The sequence below is a fragment of the Homo sapiens genome, chromosome X (genome assembly GCF_000001405.40).
Source record: "Homo sapiens chromosome X, GRCh38.p14 Primary Assembly".
In the NCBI taxonomy this organism is placed as follows: Eukaryota; Metazoa; Chordata; class Mammalia; order Primates; family Hominidae; genus Homo; species Homo sapiens.
This window is the reverse complement of record NC_000023.11, coordinates 148,550,570-148,572,546: the sequence shown is the minus strand read 5'-3', so window position 1 is coordinate 148,572,546 and position 21,977 is coordinate 148,550,570. Positions and strand designations below refer to the sequence as shown.

Sequence of the window (21,977 nt, the reverse complement as noted above, 5' to 3'; positions counted from 1 at the left end):
ACCACATTTAGTTTGTCCATTCATCAGTCGATGGATATTTGAGTCATTCCCACTTTTGGCTGTGACAAGTAATGTTGCCATGAACACTCCAGTACAAGTTTTTATGTGGACATATGTCTTAAATATTATTCCATGTATACTTAGAAGCGTAATTGTTGGGTCACATGAAAATTCGATATTTAGCTTTTTGCGGAATTCCCAAATTGTTTTCCACAGTGTCTGCATAATTTTATTTAATACATTTCCACAAGCAAAGGGTGTTAATTTCGCGACATCCTCGCCAACACTTGTTGCTGTGTATCTTCTTGGGCATAGTGATTCTAGTGGGTGTGAAGTGGTGTCTCATGGTTTTTATTAATATTTGCATTTCCCTGATGACTAAGATATTCAGTGTCTTTTCATGTATTTATTAGCATTTGTGTATCTACTTTGAATAAATATCTATTCAGATGCTTTGCCAATTTTTAATTGAATTATTTTGTAACAGTTTTTTTTTTTTGTCTTTTCTGGATGCTAGTATGTTATCAGATCTATGGTTTACAAATATTTTTCTCATTCTGTGATGTGTCTTTTCACTTACTTGATGATGACCTTTAAGCTCCCTACCAATATTTAATCAAAATAGTTGCTAATGCCTCAGGCTGAATAATCTTTTTTCTCATAACTTTTAGAAAGTGCTTCCTATATGTAGGTGGATCTAGAGATATTAGTCCTATTATCACTGGCCCTTTGACCCTGTGCTGATCCTTAGTTAGATTGGGCCATAAATACTTTATCAGGTGTCCATCTGTCCTTAGGACAATGAACCGACTCAGGCTTCCCAGAAAGCTTTTAGAAGCTTTAAAATGATAATACTATCTTGAGAATGACTGCTTTTAAGCCAGTGAACTCAGTGCCTTTTTTTAATTGGCATTATTTGTCTAGGAGGATTTGGGTTAGCAGCTTTTCCCACAGGAATAAGTTTAGCTACAAGACTTTGAGAATTCCTCTCTTTGATCAATACAATCTTTTACTTTACACTCCCATACAGCTTTTCCATCTGTTTTCCCACTGAAAATGTGCCCCAAAGTTTAAATTTTCTTGATATCTTTCAGACCCAAACTTACGAACCCAGATGAGCTGCAGTTGGGGGTAGCGGGTGGTGCAGAGTAGAGACCAGTCCAAGCTAAATTACTGGAAATGCCAAGTTCTGGAACATTTGGAAAGCAATGCTGCAGCTAATCATGCACAGTAATCATAGGCAGGAGGGCAGAAGTGTCATCTTTAAGAATCCACAGAAGCATGGCTTCAAGTCAAGCGGCCTAATGGTAGAACTTTGATAACAATTAAGTAGTCCACAGGCTTGCCCAGAAAAGCAGCTCCAAAGAATACAGTTGGGTTTTTTGAGCTAATGCTTCATCTATACCACAAGTGCCAGAGGTGCAGTTGCAAAGAACAAACTTTAGTATGAAAATTTGTTATGAATTGAATTGTTTCCACCCCCTCCAAAAAAATATGTTTAAGTCTTAACCTTCAGCACATCAGAATGTAACCTAATTTGGAAATAGGGATCTTTCAGCGGTGATCAAGTTAAGATGAGGGTCTTAGGGTCAGCCCTAATCCAATATGACTAGTATCCTTATAAAAAGGGGACATTTGGACAGACAGATAGGCACACATAGAGGCAAGAGGATGGGAAGACACAGGAAGAAGATGGCCATGTAAAGGTGGAGGATTGGAGCGATGGATCAACAATCCAAGGAACGGATGCGGTTACCAGAAGCTAGGAAAGAGGCATGGAACACGTCTTTCCTGGGACCTTTGGAGGAAGCATAGCCCTCCCAACACCTTGATTTTGAAGTTATAGCCTCTAGAACTGGGAAACAAAACATTTCTATTGTTCTAAGCCACACCAATTTGTGGTGTTTTGTTTCAGCAGCTCCAGGAAACCAATACAAAGCACCAGGCCCTATGCAAAGGGAGAACGTCCTGTGTCTCAGGTAGAAGGATTGTCATTACACAGACCCTTTCAGTCACATCTGCATGCCCAGATCATCAGTGTTGTAAGCAGCACTATCTTTGAAATGAAAAGGAAGAATACAAGTACACATTCCACATTTCTTCTACGAAGATGCGTATTTCTACTTTACTAAATGTTATGAGACTTCAAATCTTGATCCACCTATGTGTGTGGTGTGTATTAAAAAATGAGTAATGATTGCTTGGTTCAAATTGAAGAGGTTGTCAGAGAAATAAGCCAAGAAATCACAACTGCTTTCTCTTCCTGACTCATTCTTAATAAATAATGAAGATTTCTTATTGGGTGATATGAAATTTCATCTTAAGCATACTGAGGGTCTATAACCATGTAGATGTGACACTATGTAGCTTGTACGGTTCAAAGTAGGCTTGATGATGATGACAATGACTGTTTGGAGATTACAGACCAAAATAAACATACACTGTACACTTTGGATTGGTAGAAATTATAAATCGTCTGCATCTTGATCCATCAAAATTATGTGAAAGAATAATCAAATTAATTATGGTAGCCTGTCTATAGGAAATATTGGATATGAGTATATATCAATCAAGCCAGTGAGATGGAGACAAGGATTCTTTCCATTTTACTGACAGCTATCCTTTTTATATATATTACATGTGGTCTGATATCATGTATGATTGTATGAAAAAATCACTGAAACAAATGTACTGAGAGTAGTTTGGTAAACATTACATTTTTAATTTTATTGCATAATAATTTCATTTATTCATTAAACAAATATTTAATGAGCCCCTATTATGTTTCACAACCTGTGCTAGACAACCAAGATTTATCCATGCATAGAAAGAGCTTCTGAACACTAATGTCACAAGGGGCTAACACCGTGACTTCAGCTCTAGAGGTCAAACACACACACAGTTATCCTCAGAGAATCAGGAAAGCTTTGGTTCTAACATAGCAAATCTCCACATTTCTTAATTTAAAATTAATAGAAGAATTTGATAGATTTTGCACCCTAACTCTACACCCAGGGGAAAAAACTGAAATAAAATGTGTCTAGAAAATATGGCATATTTCTTACTCCTTGTATTTTTGTTTGTTTTGCTTTGTTTTGTTTTTTAGAGATGTTTGGTTACTTTTCCCATATTTCAGCAAAACTTCAGTTCTCATTGAATAGCAAAGAAACGACCGCTAAAAGCTTGGTAAAAGCGAAATGTTAAGTACTAACATGGTTTGTTCTTAGGGAAAGTAGAAAGGAATATGACTCACATTGTACATCTTCTATATGCAGAGTTTTCTAGATTTTCTTATCTAAATTTTACAACCCTAGATAGAGAAATCCTCTTCCTCCTATTCCTACTTCTGTTCCTCCTCCTCCTCCTCCTCATCATCATGATCATTATCACCATCACCATCATTTTTACTACTACCATTTTGCAGATGAGGAAACTGAAGTCAGAGAGGGAAAGTGACTTACCCAAGGTCACACAGCCAGTAAGGGGCCACTTCTTACCATTCCACAATGCAGTGTTGCTTCCAAAGAACAGTTTCAAGGAAATCATGAGCTTTTCATACCTGCTTACCAAATGTAGTCTTACACATTTGGCCCAGCATCTTACTAATGGCAATCTTTAATGATTATAACCTATAGATTACGAAATATGCTCCTTTTATTTCATAATCCACTCCCCTTATGTCTTGTGTTTTCCTGTGATATATTTTAGATCTGAGGAAGTTTATATTTCAAAACGATTCATTCTGCTCTGCCAACTGCAAGGCAAGATTGCAATAAATGTTCTCTTGTTGATCAAGAGTGTATATTTGTGAGCAGAAAGAAATACTATCTAAATTCGCATCATGTTTTGGGCCACCACTAACTAATATATTGACATGCCAATATACTGGATTATTTACATACAAAGTAAATGTCAAGCAAACAGAAAACTCTTTTGTCAGTTACCAGATATTTCTCTTACCTTCTGGGGCATGTCAGGTTGAAGCAAAATGCATCTGCTTCATCCTGTCATTACATTTGACCTAAACTTCATTTAAAAGACTAGAGAAATCATTGAAAGCTGTAGTACTGATTAGGCTTTAGAAAAGTATTTGCTTTGGAATTTGATTGTAAGTCTTGTCCAACATTCACTTGTCAGGAATCTAACAGCTCTAGAAATTTAACTTTAAAAGATACATTTAATTCAAATTTCATTTTTTAAAGATTTTATGGAAGTAGACAAACCAAAAGGGAAACAAATTGTCATACAATCCAATGATTCGAATGCGTACTTTGGACAGTTTATAAGTGATCTGGTCAGGACTCAACCAGGGTATTTATTGCTCAGTGGTAAAGAGCATGTTTAAAGGCCTGTTGACATCTGATATTAAAGCTTTCCTATGTTTATCTTTTTCCTCCCCTTTTGACAGGAGATTCCTTTAAAAACCTTTCTGGCTCTATGATGCTGAGTGACTGTGGACTGCAACCCTACTCAGCTTATGAGGAACCAGGTATTTCCAGCAAGATGTCCCCAACTCCCAATGATATCAAAAGGACTCAGACAGAGGCACTCCCCCAGCTAGTGGGTCTCTGACTCCAGCTCTCCAGTATGCTGGAGACTGCTGAGCTGGCCTTACTAATGTGTATGCTTAAAAGAACACCTCGCTCCTCCTGATCACTACTGGTTTCTATAGAAACAAGAAAGAATCTGTTCTTTTGCTAAAATTTTCTCCTAAAGCTTTTTCTAGCAATGTATAAAACATTTATTTTTTGCTATCAAAGTCCTTCATTTATAGCGTCATTTGACCAATTAAAGAACAATGGGCTGAGTAAAGATAAGAGTGAGCTTCATTTTAAGAAACCAAATCCTATGTACAGGAGGCAGCCATGGTCAGTTTATCTCTCTTGGGTCATTTTAGGACTCAAGACTCAAGTATTTTAGTGTAAATCCTTGAAACAATGGTATATCAGAGAGTTAAAAGAAATAACAAGGTATTGACTCCACCGTAAGCTGAGTTTTTCATTCTGGGATACTTCAGCAGTTACAGTATTTAAATGAAGTGTCTCATCAGTGTCACCATAAATAACCCTTGAAAACTCCAGAGCTCCAGACCACAGGAATGCGAGCTGCAGCCTTGATGCCTGTGTGGCTTTGCTTCAAGATAACGGCTAGGTTTCCCTGCTTTATTACTATGTTCCCTTCTCCAGGGACCACATTTGCTCAGGAATTGCTAAGGCTAGTAAATATTGTATCTGTCCTCTTGTAATCACCAAGCAAACAGAATTGCCCTCCATCACATAAAACCCCTAGAGCTGTTAGGTCATGAAAGAGGTATTGAACTAGGGGTGTGCTTAAATATTAAGAATGAGAATCACTGTAGCATAAATCAACACTAAATCCGCTGCATGGTTGTATGTGTTCAGTCTTCTATTAAATTTCAGTCATTTATTTTTCCATCAATAAATATATATTGACTTCCTGCTATTTGCCAGCCACAAGGTTAAGCACCGCAGGTAAGGTGGAGTACTGAGCATTACAAATACAGTCTCTGTCCAACTGGAGTTCATAGTCCAGCATGGCAGACAGGCATTACACAAATAATCACTGAACTCTAAGAGTAAGAAATACTATGAAGCAAAAAGTACCACAAGTGCCTAATAGAGAGTCTAATCCAGTCCAAGGGTGGTCAGAGACACCTTGTTGATTTGCTGGCACTTTGGTTATAAAGAGCTACAAAGGAGATTTTGGCTTAAGGTGAAATTAACTTGATAAGTGTGCATGTCTTGCAAAAATCACAGAATTGTCAAAGATCCCAAGAGGTGAACGGTTCAGCTATCTAGGATGAACAGTTTTCTCAACATGGAGATTCTTAAGGATAGAGACCTTGCACACCCCTTGATGGCTCATCTGGTGTTTCAACATCTTATTAATCTGAAAACACTTTCTTAGCTACTGAAGTACCAAAAGGACCACACCATAAAGTAATCCAGCCAGAAGGTGGTCTTCAGTTGGGGAACCTAAGGGGGATGCAACTGTCACTGAATTGCTGCATTTCATTGCTCTGATTCAAATAGAGAACTATTGTCTGAGAACTGACTCTCTACTCCAATGCAGGATTGCCAGAGCATATATATATATAATAAAACAAATAGATCTTTGGTATTCATGACCATCCAGTTTTGATATTCAAGCAACCATTTTAATACTTTCATTCTTTTGTTCCTTTAATTCTGAATCTAGACTTCTGGGAAGAAATCAGCATCTGATTCAACCAGAGACACTTAAAAACATAGGGAAAGAGAATGAGCTTGGAAGTCAGACACACTTGGGTTTCAACCCTGACTGTGACAACTGTTAGCTGACAGACTTGGGCAAAATAGATAATAATAATATTTCTGAGTCTTGGTTTTCTTATTTGCACCATACGATAATGATACCTCACAGAGTTGTTGCAAGTGTTAAATGAGATGATGCACATAAACTATTTGGCACAGTGCCTGGCAGAGAGTAAACAATTAGGAAATTAAAATTACTAAGGATATGTATACACATCTGACAATGTACTTCTCATTTATACTTCTAACTATACACGCACATATTTATATATACCTTTAACCTAACTCATAGATATGCATGTATATTTTATATATATATATATGAACTTTTAACAACCTTGTTGATCTTTATACCCCTAGTCTTGGGCTCTGAACCCAACCATAGCTGTTATGTAACAAAGGGTTGTTGAAAGGAAGGAAGAATAGAAATAAAGATATTCAAAGACACGTTAACTGGCTAGACAAGAGTTTCTACTTGTACTTTTCCAGTAACTTAGGACCCAATTCTTCAGTTGATTGTGTGGAATGTCAATGAAACAAAAATAATTGTGATCAAATGATGCTCTTAGGGCCATAAACCTATGAGCAAGCATATGGATTGCTACACATTATATTTGTACCCCTAAGGTTTGTTAAACACCTTAGGATGAAAAAAGCTAATAAGTATGAAATTTATTTTTATCATTATTAACTTAAAAATGGGAAAAGCTAAAGATAACAGAGAACTATGAAGCTAAAACTAACATACTCGAATGACAATGTATTTAAAACTCTTATGGCTAATGACCTTAAAATTTTTCTAGCTCTGTGTTGCAGGAATAAAATCCAAATCATCTCTAATAAAAATATTCATAAACTTTTGCTGCTGATGCTTTTGGGGGAATATTGAGTAAAGTGTTTGAAAGATGTCAGTAGTTTTTTTTAACAACCTAAGAAAAATAAAATACAGGGGAAACAGAGTTCTTATCATAAATATATTTTAAAAACTAGAGATTAATTACATACTATTCCTTCAAGAACAGATATATATTCAACCATTCAACTAATATAATATGGTATAATCTTTGGCTGCAGTCACAAAGCCAACTACTGCCAGTTTCCTAGGTTGAGACTAGCAGTCCTGTCACTAGCATAATTTTCTCCTACCATGCCCATGATTCCACTGATAACAAGCATCATACTCTTTCTTCTTAATTTCAATTCCATGTAATGTGTCAGAGCTTGCATTTATTTTGACCTGCTGTAAAAAGCAAAGAGCAGCCAATTCTACATGTCCTCCTTCTGATGCAGAGGAAGACAATAAGAAACAGGACCATGACATTAAAGCAATTCCACTTAAGCACTCAATAAACCTCTATTGAGTATTACTGTGTGGAATGTGCTACCTAGGAACTGTGGAAGATAAATACAATGTAGTTGTAGGAGGCATCCATAAAAGCTGCACATAATACAAAGCAGAGGAAACATGGAGGAAGGTATGAATTCAGCCTGGGGAAGTCCAGGAAGGCTGCTTTGGGGAGACTGCATCTGAGCTGAGCACTGAAGGATAATTAGGCTACTTGAAGTAGAGAAAGTGAGGGAGATATCTTCCTGGCCACTGGAAGAGCAAGACTAAAGGCACAGAAGAGTAAGCAATTAAGAATGGAAAATGGTGTAAAATGGCAGAGCAGAGGCTGGGGTGAAAAAAGGAAAGGCAGGTTTCGGCCATGTCAAAACGCCTCCAAAATGGCATGCAGAGTAACGTTGATTTTTTTTTTTTTTTTTCAAATCAAGAGGGAACTACCAAATGCTTTGGAGGAAAATAGTTTTTCTTCCAGACAGCTCACTGACTCTATTGCATCAAATGAATGAGGCAGCTCCTCTACAATTACATAGGCATTTTGTACTTCCCTTTCTTAATAATTTCTTTATTAGTTACTGAATATAGCCTAATGATAATATACCTGTCATCCTAAGTGTCTCAGACATGAACAACATATATATTTAAAACTTATCTGGGATTGAATTCAAAGGATCAACTGAGTTGAAATTTAGTCCTAAATACTAAGATACTACCAGACAGTTAGGTAAGTGCTGCTATAGATTTATTGAATATTTCAACAGTGAGGGAAGAAGTGATCTACAGCATGTCTGTTGTTTTGTTCTATCATATTTTTTCCCTTCAGGATATATTGAAATTTTCTTCCTAATCTGCAGAGATGCCCTTATTTTATTTTCCTTTTTGTGTCCTCTTCATTGTCATGATAAGCATTAGAAACAAAAGATAGTCAAGTTCTGGAGAGGGTCAGTTGTCTTTCCTCTCTTCCTTTCAACAAGCATTTATAAAACACCTGGCATGTGCTGGTCACTGACACTGACACTAGAAGTACCAGGAGAAATAAGATATGGTGTCTTATTTACCCTCAAGTAGCTCACAGTCTGGAAGATAACCCAGGCTGAAAATCAGTCCCCAGATGTTAGAAATCCTACACATGAATGTGTGAATCTGCTAGTAAAAGACAACCATTTGAGTACTGCAAATAGTTTTATTTTACTGTTGTCTCACCAGAGATAAAACTTACTTGGCAAAGATTAGTCCTTTGTGAAAAACCATCTCAATGGACTGTCCGAGTTATATAAGCATAAAGCATAGCAAATGGCACCACTATCCTCTTGGCCGCTCAACACAAAAATTGAGAAGGTATACTGGACTCCTCCCTTTCATTCACCTCCATCACCCCCAGCATGCACACACACACACAGGATCCATCAGTAACTTCTGTGGACTCCACCTCCAACCTCTCTCTCCTTCCATGGCCACTGCCTTGGTGCACACCACTGCAATGACAGCCTCCCAGCTGGCCTCCACTGCCTTCTTTGCCTTCCTACATTTTGTTCCCCACATAGCAGCCAATGTGCCCCTTTAAAATGTAAATCAGATCCCCCTGCCCATGCTTAAACTCCTCCAAACGCTTCCCATTGCAGGTAGAATGAAATTCCAATTGCTTATCTGGCCCTTTGAAGTACCCACAGGTCTGATCCTTGCCTACATCCCTAACCTCATCCTCTATAAAGTTACCATCCTTAACAAGGCTCGTTTTATTCTGTGAACAAGCCAGGCATGTCCCTGCCTCAGGGCCTTTTGTAATTGCACTGCTGTCTCCTTGAAATGCTTCCCCAAGATCCACACTTGACCAGCTTCCTCTCATCCTGCAGGCCTCGGCTCAAACAGGGCCTTCTCAGACAACCAAGGCTAAAGTCGGCCTCTTCCTCTTCTGTAACTGCATTACAGGAACCTGTTTTACTTTCTTCTGATGAGTTATTGCAATCTGAAACTGGATTGTGCCTTTCTTTGTGGCTTTTTTCATGTCTGCAGACCCTGACTGAAATGTAAACTCCATGCAACCAGGCATCAAGTTCCCCACTGAGCCCCCAGTACCTAGTTCAGGGCCTCCAGTTTGGCAGGCCCCTTTCAGGAGGTCAAGAAAGGAAAAGAGATAGGGGAAGGAATAAAGAGAGGAAGAGAGAGGAAGGGAGACATCTATTATTCTTGGGAATAACAATGAAATCACCTTCAGCCTGAACTCAGTTGTCTTCAGGTTTGTTTGGGGTTTTGTTTGGAATAGTTAAGCTGACCTATGTCTCTAGCCTTGGTTTCCAGAGGGCTTGGGGAAGCAAAGGAAGAAAGCATGGTTAGACAGATTGTTTTAATGACTGCTTACATGAGAAGACAAAACTGAGGCCCTTTGGTGGCTTGTTACCCGTAGCTATGAGTGAGGTTTAGAATCTTTTGGAGAGTTGCTTGCAGAAAACAAGGGGCCCAGGGGAGACACTAGAGGTTGTACTTTTCTGAAGAACTTGGGAAAGCTGAGCAGCAGTGTCTGTGATTATGAGTCTCCATTCTTTCCATGGTTTATATTCTGGTGTTGCATGACTTTTACTCACCATTCAGCCATGGCTTCTTAACACTAAATCAATACACAGCTCCCAGCACAGCACAGGCTGTGTCTGTGTGATGCCAAAGCGACTTGACAATTGATTAAATGTGGTTTAAAAAGAAATCAGTCAGACCAGTCATTTGACATCAGGTAGACAGAACAAAGCTGTCATTTGCTGGCATAACTGTTGTCTTAAATTCTAAAACAAGCAACAACGTTAGTGGGTGGGAACTCACCACTTTCATTAACATTTTCCCATATGTAAGTTCAATAATTTCATAGTGTCCTGCAACTAGGATTAGATTTCACAGACCGTGAATCCTAATCATAATAGCTCCACATGCAAGGGGCCACTTCAACATTGACTTTTACTTCTCTAATTTGAAGTGATCATGAATATTGTATAACTTGCCCCACTCTGGTTCTGTTTTTTTTTTCTTTTAGTAAAAAAGATTATTTCCCCTTGGTTGAACCATTTCAGCTAAAAGAAACTCACCACTGAATCACTGTCATAAAAATGGGTAAGAAAATGTAGCCCTCAAAAAAGTAAAGTAGGCTTCCAAACAGCTTGGCCACACAGACCATTTAGGTTAGATTACTAAGGGCTGCAGTGTATTCCACCGCATTCCTTCTAGGACCAAAGAAGTCAACCCCTAGAGATCCTGGCTCAGTAGGAGTGAGACGAGGTACAGGTAAGGATTGGCATCTGGAAAGAGAAGCCCACCCCACTCCTGATTCTGAGGCAGGGACCCGGATAAGGACCACACCCTAGAATAAAGCCAGATAGGCTTGATGAAGCATCAACTGAAAGCTGACACTCAGCAAAATATCATCTCTGTCCTAAGACTGACTAATTTGATGCTGAATTGCTCTTGAGTTTTCTATGTAATGAAAATGAGTTCAATGCTTGGATAGGTTCATGAAGATGACTTTATCATTACCCATTTAGCAAACAAGACTCCCTGCCTGATGGTTATAAGAGAAAATACCCTAGAGCCAGTTCTTTCCAGGAGACTTTGATTTCCCAAATTAAGGGTCAAAATTGACCCAAGGTTATATTTAGGAAAATTGTTGAAATGTAAATCCACTAATAAAATGCTAAAAGAAATCTCAAATGTTATGTTCATTTATTCATTTAACTCATTCATTCACTCATGTTTTGGTTTTTAACAATCAACAAATATGTTTATTATTACCTACAAAATGTCTGGCTGGCATTATGGATACAAAAAGCAAAAGACATAGACTTCATCCTCAAGGAAGCCATTGTCTTACAAAAAACGCAAATACTTCAAATACATAAAAAATATGGTCTACCATGGCAGAAACCATAAGGAGATCTGCAGAAAGTATTGATGGATGACCAGAGGTGAAATACATTCACACTGAAGTGGCGAGGGGTACAGAGAAAAATCAGGTAAAACCCCAGAGAGAAAGCATTAGAGCTGGACTTTGAGGAGAACAGGAGGTGCCCCCCCCAGAAAAAAACTGTCATCAAGATAAATGAAATTTTAATGCAATACTGTTAAAAATCGAAATGTCTTATTTTTTCCTTTTGCCTCAGGCTTCAATATGGCTCAGAATGGCACTGTTACAGATCCTGTCTTTGTTTAAAAATCAGATATTTCCATACAAATTTGTTTAAGTTCCTTATACATTCTGGATATTAGCTGTTTGTTAGATGAATAGATTGCAAAAATTTTCTCCCATTCTGTAGGTTGCCTGTTCACTCTGATGATAGTTTCTTTTGCTGTGCAGAAGCTCTTCAGTTTAATTAGATCCCATTTGTCAATTTTGGCTTTTGTTGCTGTTGCTTTTGGCGTTTTAGTCATCAAGTCTTTGCCCATGTCTATGTCCTGAATAGTATTGCCTAGGTTTTCTTCTAGGGTTTTTATGATTTTAGGTCTTACGTTTAAGTCTTTAATCCATCTTGAGTTAATTTTTGAATAAGGTGTAAGGAAGGGGTCCAGTTTCAGTTTTCTGCATATGGCTAGCCAGTTTTTCCAACAGGGAATCCTTTCCCCATTGCTTGTTTTTGTCAGGTTTGTCAAAGATCAGATGCTTGTAGATGTGTGGCATTATTTCTGAGGCCTCAGTTCTGTTCTGTTGGTCTATATATCTGTTTTGGTACCAGTACCATGCTGTTTTGGTTACTGTAGCCTTGTAGTATAGTTTGAAGAAAAAAACAAACAACCCCATCAAAAACTGGGTGAAGGATATGAACAGACACTTCTCAAAAAAAGACATTTTTGCAGCCAACAAACATATGAAAAAAAAGCTCACCATCACTGGTCATTAGAGAAATGCAAATAAAAACCACAATGAGATACCATCTCATACCAGTTAGAATGGCAATCATTAAAAAGTCAGGAAACAACAGATGCTGGAGAGGATGTGGAGAAATAGGAATGCTTTTACACTGTTGGTGGGAGTGTAAATTAGTTCAACCATTGTGGAAGACAGTGTGGCAATTCCTCAAGGATCTAGAACTAGAAATACCATTTGACCCAGCAATCCCATTACTAGGTATATACCCAAAGGATTATAAATCATTCTACTATAAAGACATATGCACATGTATGTTTACTGCACCATTATTCACAATAGCAAAGACTTGGAACCAACCCAAATGCCCATCAATGATAGACTGGATAAAGAAAATGTGGCACATATACATCATGGAATACTATGCAGCCATAAAAAAAAGGATGAGTTCATGTCCTTTGCAGGGACATGGATGACGCTGGAAACCATCATTCTCAGCAAACTAACACAGGAACAGAAAACCAAACACTGCATGTTCTCACTCATAAGTGGGTGTTGAACAATGAGAACACATGGACACAGGGAGGGGAACATCACACACCAGGGCCTGTCACGGGGTGAGGGGCTAGAGAAGGGATAGCATTAGGAGAAATACATAATGGAGATGACGAGTTGATGGGTGCAGCAAACCACCACCATGGCACATGTATACCTACGTAATAATCCTGTAACGTTCTCCACATGTATCCCAGAACTTAAAGTTTAAAAAAAAATCAGATTGTTTATTCATTGTGGATTTTTCTGCATGCGTCTTGATTTTTCACAAATACCACATTAAAATATTATTCATCTTGATTAGTGATATTTTTAAAATGTTGTGACCCTAGTAATGGCCCTTCCCCAAGCCAAGAAATCTGTGTGATGAGGGAGTAGAAAAGAAGTCCATTTTCCCAACTAGTCAACTAGAACAGGCCAACTCCAGTTGCCAAACTAGCTTCTCTTACAGGATTGAACCTGTCTTTTTGGAGTGGAAATCTCAATGGTCACTCCTATTACCACTATCTCACACACTAAGGGCACCAACAGCTGAGAATGGAAGACACAGTATTTGAGTGGCATGTTTCTCGCTCACAGCCACTACCTAGGATGCCTGGTGTCTGTTCATGGGTTTCCTCTAAGCGAATTCAGTACTTCATAAAATGGCCATAACCAGTCATCAGAAAATTGAATGGCATCCATTGCTATTTTTCTCTTTCTTACTAAATTAATGCATTTGGCACTGGTAAATCAGTTCCCTTTAGCTGAGTAAGGCTAAAGAGATGGTGCCAGTCTCTCCAAGAGAGGAAGATGAAGCCATTTGCAAGAATTCCAGGCTATAATTTTTACATTACAGTGTTATTACCAAAAGGTGGTTTTGTTTGGCGCTTCCTTTTCTGTCTCTTTTCTTATATGTTTGGAGACAGGCATGAGAGCATACGTACTCTCTATTATTTCTTCTTGACGTTCCTCTTGTTTAAAATGGGAAGATGGGTATTGGGAACCCAGCTCAGTGACAGAGCAGCTATATATATGTCTGTAAATGACAGAACTAGCTGCGAATAGAACAACACCCAAGCCTCTGGCTTCTGGCTTCAAAGGTGCAGCATGTTAAGAAGGGAAAACACTTGGGCCCACAGAACTGCATCTCACTCTTAGAGCTCATAACCTCATTGATTTTAGCCCGGATTTATGGCATCATTTGTTCCTGATAAGAGCCACTCGCCCGCACAACTCCACCGTGAAAAGGTAAAATATAACCTAGCAGGGCAAAATAGAAAAGGAAAAGACAAATAAAACCAAGTGAGGGCTGGAGAAATTCACTGCTTTTGCCTTGATTCTTTTGTTCATTTGATACAACTTGCTCTGTAATAAATGGCTGAACAGTCCTTCCTTTTGCCTTGATCAACCAAGAGAACAGCTAGAATGCTGGGAAGCAGTAATCTGTGGCTCTACTCAGGATGCATGTGTTTATCAAATGTATTGAAGCATCAGGTGTGGCAAAATGTGCAGACCCTGAGTTAGACTGGCCTGACTTTTCATCCCAGCTCAGCATTTTACAAGCTGTGTACCTTGGACAAGTTATTTAACCTCTCTGTGAATATAATTGGCACCATTTGAAAGGATGGGTCTCTAAGGTTCTCAAAAAGTCATAGGTAAACCAGTTAAAGCACGGGAAACACACTGCCTGACTAATGGTAAGTGCTCAATAAAATGCCAACTATTAGCTAGCATTAACAAATATTTTTGAGAATGTTTCCATGCATTTGTATAAAGATAATAGATTTAGGAAATGCCTTTATTATACGTGACAGGTTGTTGTAGTTTGAATGTCTCCCCCAAAGTTAGAAATTTAATCTCTAATGCAAGAGTGTTGAGAGGTGATATCTTCAAGAGTTCAGCACTCTCCTTGCTCCCACCTTGCTCTCTCTCTTTCTCTCTCTTTTTCATGCATTCTTTCTCTGAGGGATTTACCTTCAGCTACAGTTAGGAACCACGTTCTTCCACCTTCTGCTATGGCAGGACACAGCAAGAAGGCTCTGCCAGATGCAGCTCCTTGATCTTGGACATCCCAGTCTCCAGAACTGTAACAAATAAATCTCTGTTCTTTATAGATTACCCAGTCTCTGGTATTCTATTATAGCAACAGCAAAATAGGCCGTAAGTGATAACAATTTTTAGCTTCATTACAGTCCAATACTTAGAATTTAAAGAAATCTCCCTTTATTTACATGATGTATAACTATAAGACAATGAGACTCTTCATAAGAGAAACTACCAGACATTTAACATTTAAATAAATGCTGACTCTTAGAAGCAACACTATGAGGAAACTATACACTACCCTCAAGGAGACATGCATTCTTCAACCATGTTTAGAACTGCTCTGAGGGAATTACCTTCAGCTACAGTTATGAACCATGCATGAAAATTAGGCTCATTATCTTAGAGCCACAGCTCATTTTTTAGTAAAACCTATATTCAACCTTATCAGCCTCCTTACTCACCAAATCTTGCTCCAAATTGCTTTCTGGTTGTTTCAAAAAAATCACAATCACCACTACCATCAAGAAATGAAAATCTGGAGTTTATAATAAATGATATTAAAAAAGAACCAGCCACAGATTCCAAAGACCATTCACAAAGATGAAATTTCAAACTGTTACCTGCCTGGTCAGGTAGAACTGTTGGAATAAGATGGTGCCTCCCTAAGGGCCCAATTTGAATGGAGCCACACACTCAGATCAGATAGGTAAGTTCTGGACAGACATGGCAGTTAAATGTCAACCAGGTTTTACTTTATGGCCAATGCGATAAAGCCTTTCAAAGGGAAACACAAGCCATTTATAGCAAGTCAACTTCTTATCTAAGCATCATGACCATTTTCATTTTTTTCAAAATTAATCTCTGCCTATTTTGAGATTCTACAGAAAAACAGCAATCTTAAAGAGAATAGCCTCTCTGAAATTATATCTTTTTAAAGTTAGCCTAAAAGTAGAAAAGGCCATTCAATTTTGGTCTCACATTATGTGGAACTCAAATATTTTCTGGAGTAAAAAAATATGCAGCCAGAGGATAAACTTACTCCACGCAGGGTTAAAAACAAAAATGCTGATATAACCTTAAGTATGGTGGCGCCCGGAACCACGGCTATAATTAATCTAAATGTACTGTAATTACACTAAATGTTACTTCTGTAGAATACTTTCAAATCATGAGGCTTTTCTATGCTTAGATAACATGCAGTTTTTTTCTAATCATGGATGTAGGCATGATTTGCTAAAGGAACATTAGGTCTGGAAGCAATATCTTAATCAAATCAGAATTTCTTCTGTAAAACAAATCTTCGGCTTTTGAAGAATTAGCGGCATCTAATGCCTTGGGGTAGAGATGTGAAACTGAGCTAAAATCTCCACCGCTGGCTCTCTCCCTCTGCTCTCTGGCTTCCAGTCATTCGTAAGTACCATGTAGCCTCCTACACACACACCTACAGTTTCTGTGGCCATAAACCACCACAGCTACATCTAAATTACACCCTGAAAACTCCACATTTGAAATCAGTTGTAGGAAAATTCACCTCGTGTGGTTTACGTGTCTCTTTAGAACAGAAGGCTGGTTCCTTTTGGAAGGAACTCATTTAAACAAAACCTAATAGCAAGCATCCATAAATTAGAGGGTTATTGGTATGTGCATAATCAGATGCATAAAAACTGAATGAATATTCCAAGGCTGAAAATACAGACTCTTACATATGCAGAAAGATTTCTTATGGTGATTTTAGTTTTGTGAGAGATGACAAAAATGGGATGGGAAACCTATAGTCATTGGCTGTCATCTTTCTAGCTGTTCAGTTCTTTCTCCCCAGTGCTGTGAGCTTAATCAGTAACTGTCCCAAAAAAGAAATGCTGATATTGCTGAGGGACATGTCTTGACAAATCCAAGTCCAATGCTCAAACCAGGAAGCAGAACGTGTTACAGATCAAAAAGGTGGCGGAAACTGGCCTTATCAGGGCAGAACTTGGAATCACTCTATGTCAAAACTAAAATGTATCATTTAAATAGAGGTCAGATGAGGATTAATTCTTCCTCTTCTTCATGCACAGCAATGGTCAAGTACTCAGTGGGTGTATGATGAAAATACAGAGAAAGGAACGAATAATTAAACACAGGTTTCAACAGAGACCATAATCCTCTCGCAGCCCCTTCACTAATCCTTTGCAACAACAATGGGATCAGACATCTTCACTGAAACTCTTGTTAATGTACTCTGTTTTTAATTGGCTTGAGTTCAGTTCCACACAATATAGGCTAGTGAGCAGCTTACACAACATGTGAGTGTCAGGGGCCAGGAGACTGGAGAAAATGAACCTTGGGAGCCAGATGATCATGAAATGTGAAACACAGAAGCGATCCCAGAGGTCAAAGCCCATTCGTTTTGCAGGTTGGGCAACAGGCCCAGAGGAGTTAAGTGACTTGCCCAAGATCACAAAGCAAATGAATGGCAGAGACAGGGCTAAGACCCAGACATCTTAACTTCTAGGCCAGGGCCCCTTCTGTTGAATGGAAAGATGCCTCTTCTCTGCAGGGGTTGACCTGTGGGAGGAGCCTGGAATAGCCAGACTGACTCTGCCAGCGTCTTGGGCATCCATCCATTCTCCCATCCAGCCATTCAACACACATCTATTGAACATTCATTCTGTGCCAGACCCGGTTCTGGCCAACATATGCAGAGAGTCAAGAAGAATCTAAGTCTAAGCTACACTGCAAAAGCAGTTTGGGTGGAAGATTCAGGGATAGCATGCTCCCTAATCTTAAAGAGTCTGAAATCAGGATGGTAAGACATGGCAAATGCAAATTAAACTGGAGTGTCTTCCATTATCCCCACGAGAAACAATAGTCTATTCTAGTTTTATTAAAATACTTGAATAATCCCAAATATTGGAAAACTTATTGAAGATTTCCAAACTTTTTTCAGCAGGATTGAGACTGTGATGGGGGACCCGATCTAACTCCTTCAGTTTTATCACCCTCTGCTAACCTCCAGCCCTGTCTCCCTCCAGGCACAGGTAAACTTGATTTAAACCTCTCACTTTTCTTCAGCTGCACCATGCACCATGGCCTTTCTCATGTCTGCCTCTCCCCATGATAATAAATATTGTTAATTTAACTCCTCAACTGGATGTCAAACTTTAAGAGAATACAGACCACGCCTACCTCACTTTATTGCTGTATCCGCAGCAACTAGCCCAGCACCTGGCATATGGTTGATGTTTTAAAATATCTGTTGAATGAATGAGTGAGCAAATGAGCCAGTCATTGCAACAAATGTTTAATATTCTTTTTTGTTTAATATTTGACAGCTCTGGTAAATATGTGTATTATCCCTGTTTTGCAGATAATGGCAAAGAAGCCGAGAGAGATGAAGCAATTGGCTCAAGGTGACACAGCCTATAAATAGTAGAGCTGGCCATCTGACAGTTAACCCACACTCTATTCATTCTTAGACCCTCCTCTTTGCATCCTCAACTCCTAGCCATACTTCCATGTTGTACCTTCCTCTAACCTGAGGAAGCTTCCTCTAACCATAGGCTACCTCTAGTCGGAGGGCTATGTCATAGTTTTTAAAGGTGTCTGGAAGTGTCTTCCACTGACTTATAAGTTCTTCCAGGGATTACAATGCCTTTCTCTTGGGAGCACTCTGTAGATTGTCCTTCATTGGCAAATTCTCAGTAATATTAGTGGAAGGAAGTTAGGGTCTGGGGACACGGAAGAAATAAACAAACAGCAAAGAATGAGTTGAGGACACAGATAGAGGCTCAGCTACAGTTTCAGTCTTCAGATCAAGTTCTAGGAGTCTGCCTTCTGACCACAGGGATTCAGGATTCAAAGTCACTGGGAAGTGAAACCCAAGGACAGCTCTCTGTTCCAGAAGCCTGTACTCATTCACAGCCTGAGCACTTTATACCCCTTTCAGAGAAGGCCACAGTACATTTGTTATGTGTTTTCTACCACAATTTTTTTAATATTGGCATCTGAATGAAATGTGTTGTAACTATAAAATATGCTTGTAACAAAGACTTGTTACAAAGAAAATGTGAATTTTAATTATAATTTCTATGTTAATTATGTGTTGAAATGATGATGACTCAAATACACTGGATTGAAAATATAGTGTTAAAATTAATCTCACCTGTATCTTTTTACCTTTTCTAATGTGGCTGCAAAAAAACTTAAAATTGTAGATGTGGCTTGTATTATATTGCTATTGGACAGAGTTGGTCTGTGTCTTGTTTTGGGTAGCAGTTACCTGGATGTAAGCAAATGTCAAAACTCACTGAACTGAATACCCGTATATTTTATTGTGTATTAGTTACAGTTCAATTTAAAAAGTACATAAAGAAGAGTCTCCTCTCCTTTTAGCCTCAAATAATGTGTTCTGACACAGAGGGGAGAACCATCCTGAGCATTTTTTAAATCCCCACCATTTGTCAGATCTTTGGTGCAATTCCCTGTCTTACCACCAGGATCAAGCTACTATGGGTAAAACCACTCATTTCTTACTGTTTTGATTTTCTTCCTACCAAGCAACAAATACCTAGAATGGAGCTGGGGCCCTAACTTAGGCTGTTATCACTGCAGAGGCTTTAAGTAAAGGATGTCCCCGATTTCCATATCCAGAGGTAAACAGGCTTTGAATAAAACATGTTAGAGAAAAATCTAAAGCTCTAAGGTCTTCCATTCTCCATTCTCCCAGATTTGACTTTTTCATTCATGCAAAGGCATCTATCTGTGCTGTCAAGCCAAGACTTGTTTTGTAATATTAAACCTATTCCCTCTACTCAAAAAACAAAACAGCAAAGTGAGCAGACCAACAAGCATAGTGGTTCAGGTATACTGCTCAGAACACTTTGAGAACCAAAGGCAATTAAAGGCCATACCTCTGCTATGCTTGCCTGGCAAGGGAAACCCTGGCAAATGCACACATGTGTCTGATTCTCAGGGAAGGGGATACTGACCAATATCCTCCCCAGGTGGATAGAACCCCAGGTATGAAGTGCAGCTTTCCCCCCAGTCAGGTCCTTGGGTTCCAACATTCACCTGGCTTGTGAAGACCCTGCCTACTAGAGGACAAAATAGCCAGTTCAAGCTGTACATCAAGTCAGAGTTGACACACACTGGGCAAGGCTTTGGGGTTTTCATACCACGCTTCAACCCTGACCTTCCCCATCACTCTCTGTGAGTTAAAGGACATGTGGCTGTGTCAGGGGTTCCCAAGACCACCCTCAAGTATGTTTTGCCACAAGGACTCAAGTCACAGAAACTGCTATACTCATGGTTATGGTTTATTACAGTGAAAGAATACAGATTAAAATCAGCAAAGGAAAAAGGTACACATGGTGGGGTCCATGAGAGACCGAGTACAAGCTTCTAGTTTTCCTCTCCCAGGAGAGTAGTAAAGACAGTGCTTAATTCCCCAAGCAATGATGTGTGACAATATGTACAAAATATTTCCAACCAGGAAAGCTCTCCGGAGTATTGGTGTCCAGATTTTTATTGAGGACTAGTCAGTAGTCATGGAGCACCCACGTGCCTGATTTTAGTTACTCAGTCTCCAGCCCCTCCAGAGGTCAAACTGATACACAGTGGCCCAAGGACACTACCATAACCCACATTGTTAGCATAAACTATCTGGTGTGGCTCAACTCCCCAGGTATACAAAGACCCTCTCATCAGGCAGAATATTCCAAGGACCTAGAAGTTATCTCCCAGAAGCCCTTGATTGGCCCTGTTTTTGGAATATGCAGGGTTGGAACACCCCAAGCTTGCTAGGTTAACCCTTTACTGCACAGGTGCTCTCCAAAAGAGAGGAAGTCCTCTTCTTGAATGGGACCTTTGCAATACACAGGGTCTCCAGAACAAAACTTTTAAAGTTGTGATACCAAGGATCACAGGCAGAAAACAACTCAACTTTTGCCCAATCTCTTTTCCTTTCTTTCTTTCTTCTTTTTTTTTTTTTTTTTTTTTTTTTTTCACTTCCCAGCATCTGGAGGAGAGTTTAGAGTAGAGAAGGACCATAAGTTCTACTACTAATTTGGTAAGGGGTTCATTGCTTATTATTAAACATACATTAAGTGCTAATTGTGTGCCTAAACATATAAGAAATCTCTATGCCCATATTGTTTTATGTAGTCTATTTATTTTATGGGGAGGGAATTGGTGGCTTATCAAAATCATTCATCGCCTGACAACTCTGTAAACTTCAACCAGGCCATTATCCCACACTTTCATTCTTCTGAGAATGGAAAGAGAAGAGAGTAGTGTAGGGGAGCCATGTTGTTGCTTACCTTATTTGTAGTTATTTAAGCCTTAGTTTTATTTCTATATGGCTTGAAAGTTTCTTACTAAAGAAACACTTGTTTAATTTATATCAGTGGTTCTCAAACAGGGCTGATTTTTCCCCCTCCCAAGAGACATTAGGCAATGTCCAAAGACATTTTTGGTTGTCACACCTATGGAGGAATAGGTGTTTCTGTTATCTAGTGTGTATCTAGGTCAGGGAAACTCAGGACGATAATCAGGATGGCCCCTCACAACAAAGAGTTACTTGGCTGCAAATGTCAGTGGTGCCAAAATTAAGAAACCCTGATTCACATATACATGTTCTTTAAACTGTAACAATATAGAGAAGAATGAAAAATACATGAAAGCAGCCTGTAATCTTATCAAGCACTGATAATAACCATTAACGCAATACATTTTGGTATATTTCCTTCTAGTTTTTTTCCTGCACATACGTATTCGCAGATGCCCCTCGATAAACCCATCATAAGTTGAAAATATTGTAAGCTGAAAATGCATTTCAATTACTAATTTGAAGTATGGTTTCTACTGAATGCTTATCACTTTCAAACCACTGTAAGGTCAAAAAATCATAGCTTGATGG

General features: G+C 38.9%; 1 protein-coding gene across 5 annotated transcripts in view, besides 1 other annotated feature; it reads right to left on the bottom strand.

The window, feature by feature from the left end:
• AFF2 (ALF transcription elongation factor 2) overlaps window positions 1-21,977 on the bottom strand; it is a 500,047-nt gene that overhangs the window by 428,117 nt on the left and 49,953 nt on the right. The gene's annotated exons all lie outside the window — the stretch shown is intronic.
• Window positions 16,384-17,583: an enhancer, noted in NCBI's record as "MED14-independent group 3 enhancer chrX:147636485-147637684 (GRCh37/hg19 assembly coordinates)". NCBI's record gives its function as "activates an origin of replication core promoter dependent on BRD2, BRD4, P300/CBP and CDK7 cofactors, and independent of MED14, by STARR-seq in HCT116 cells {active_cell/tissue: HCT116}" and the evidence as "EXISTENCE:reporter gene assay evidence [ECO:0000049][PMID:35650434]".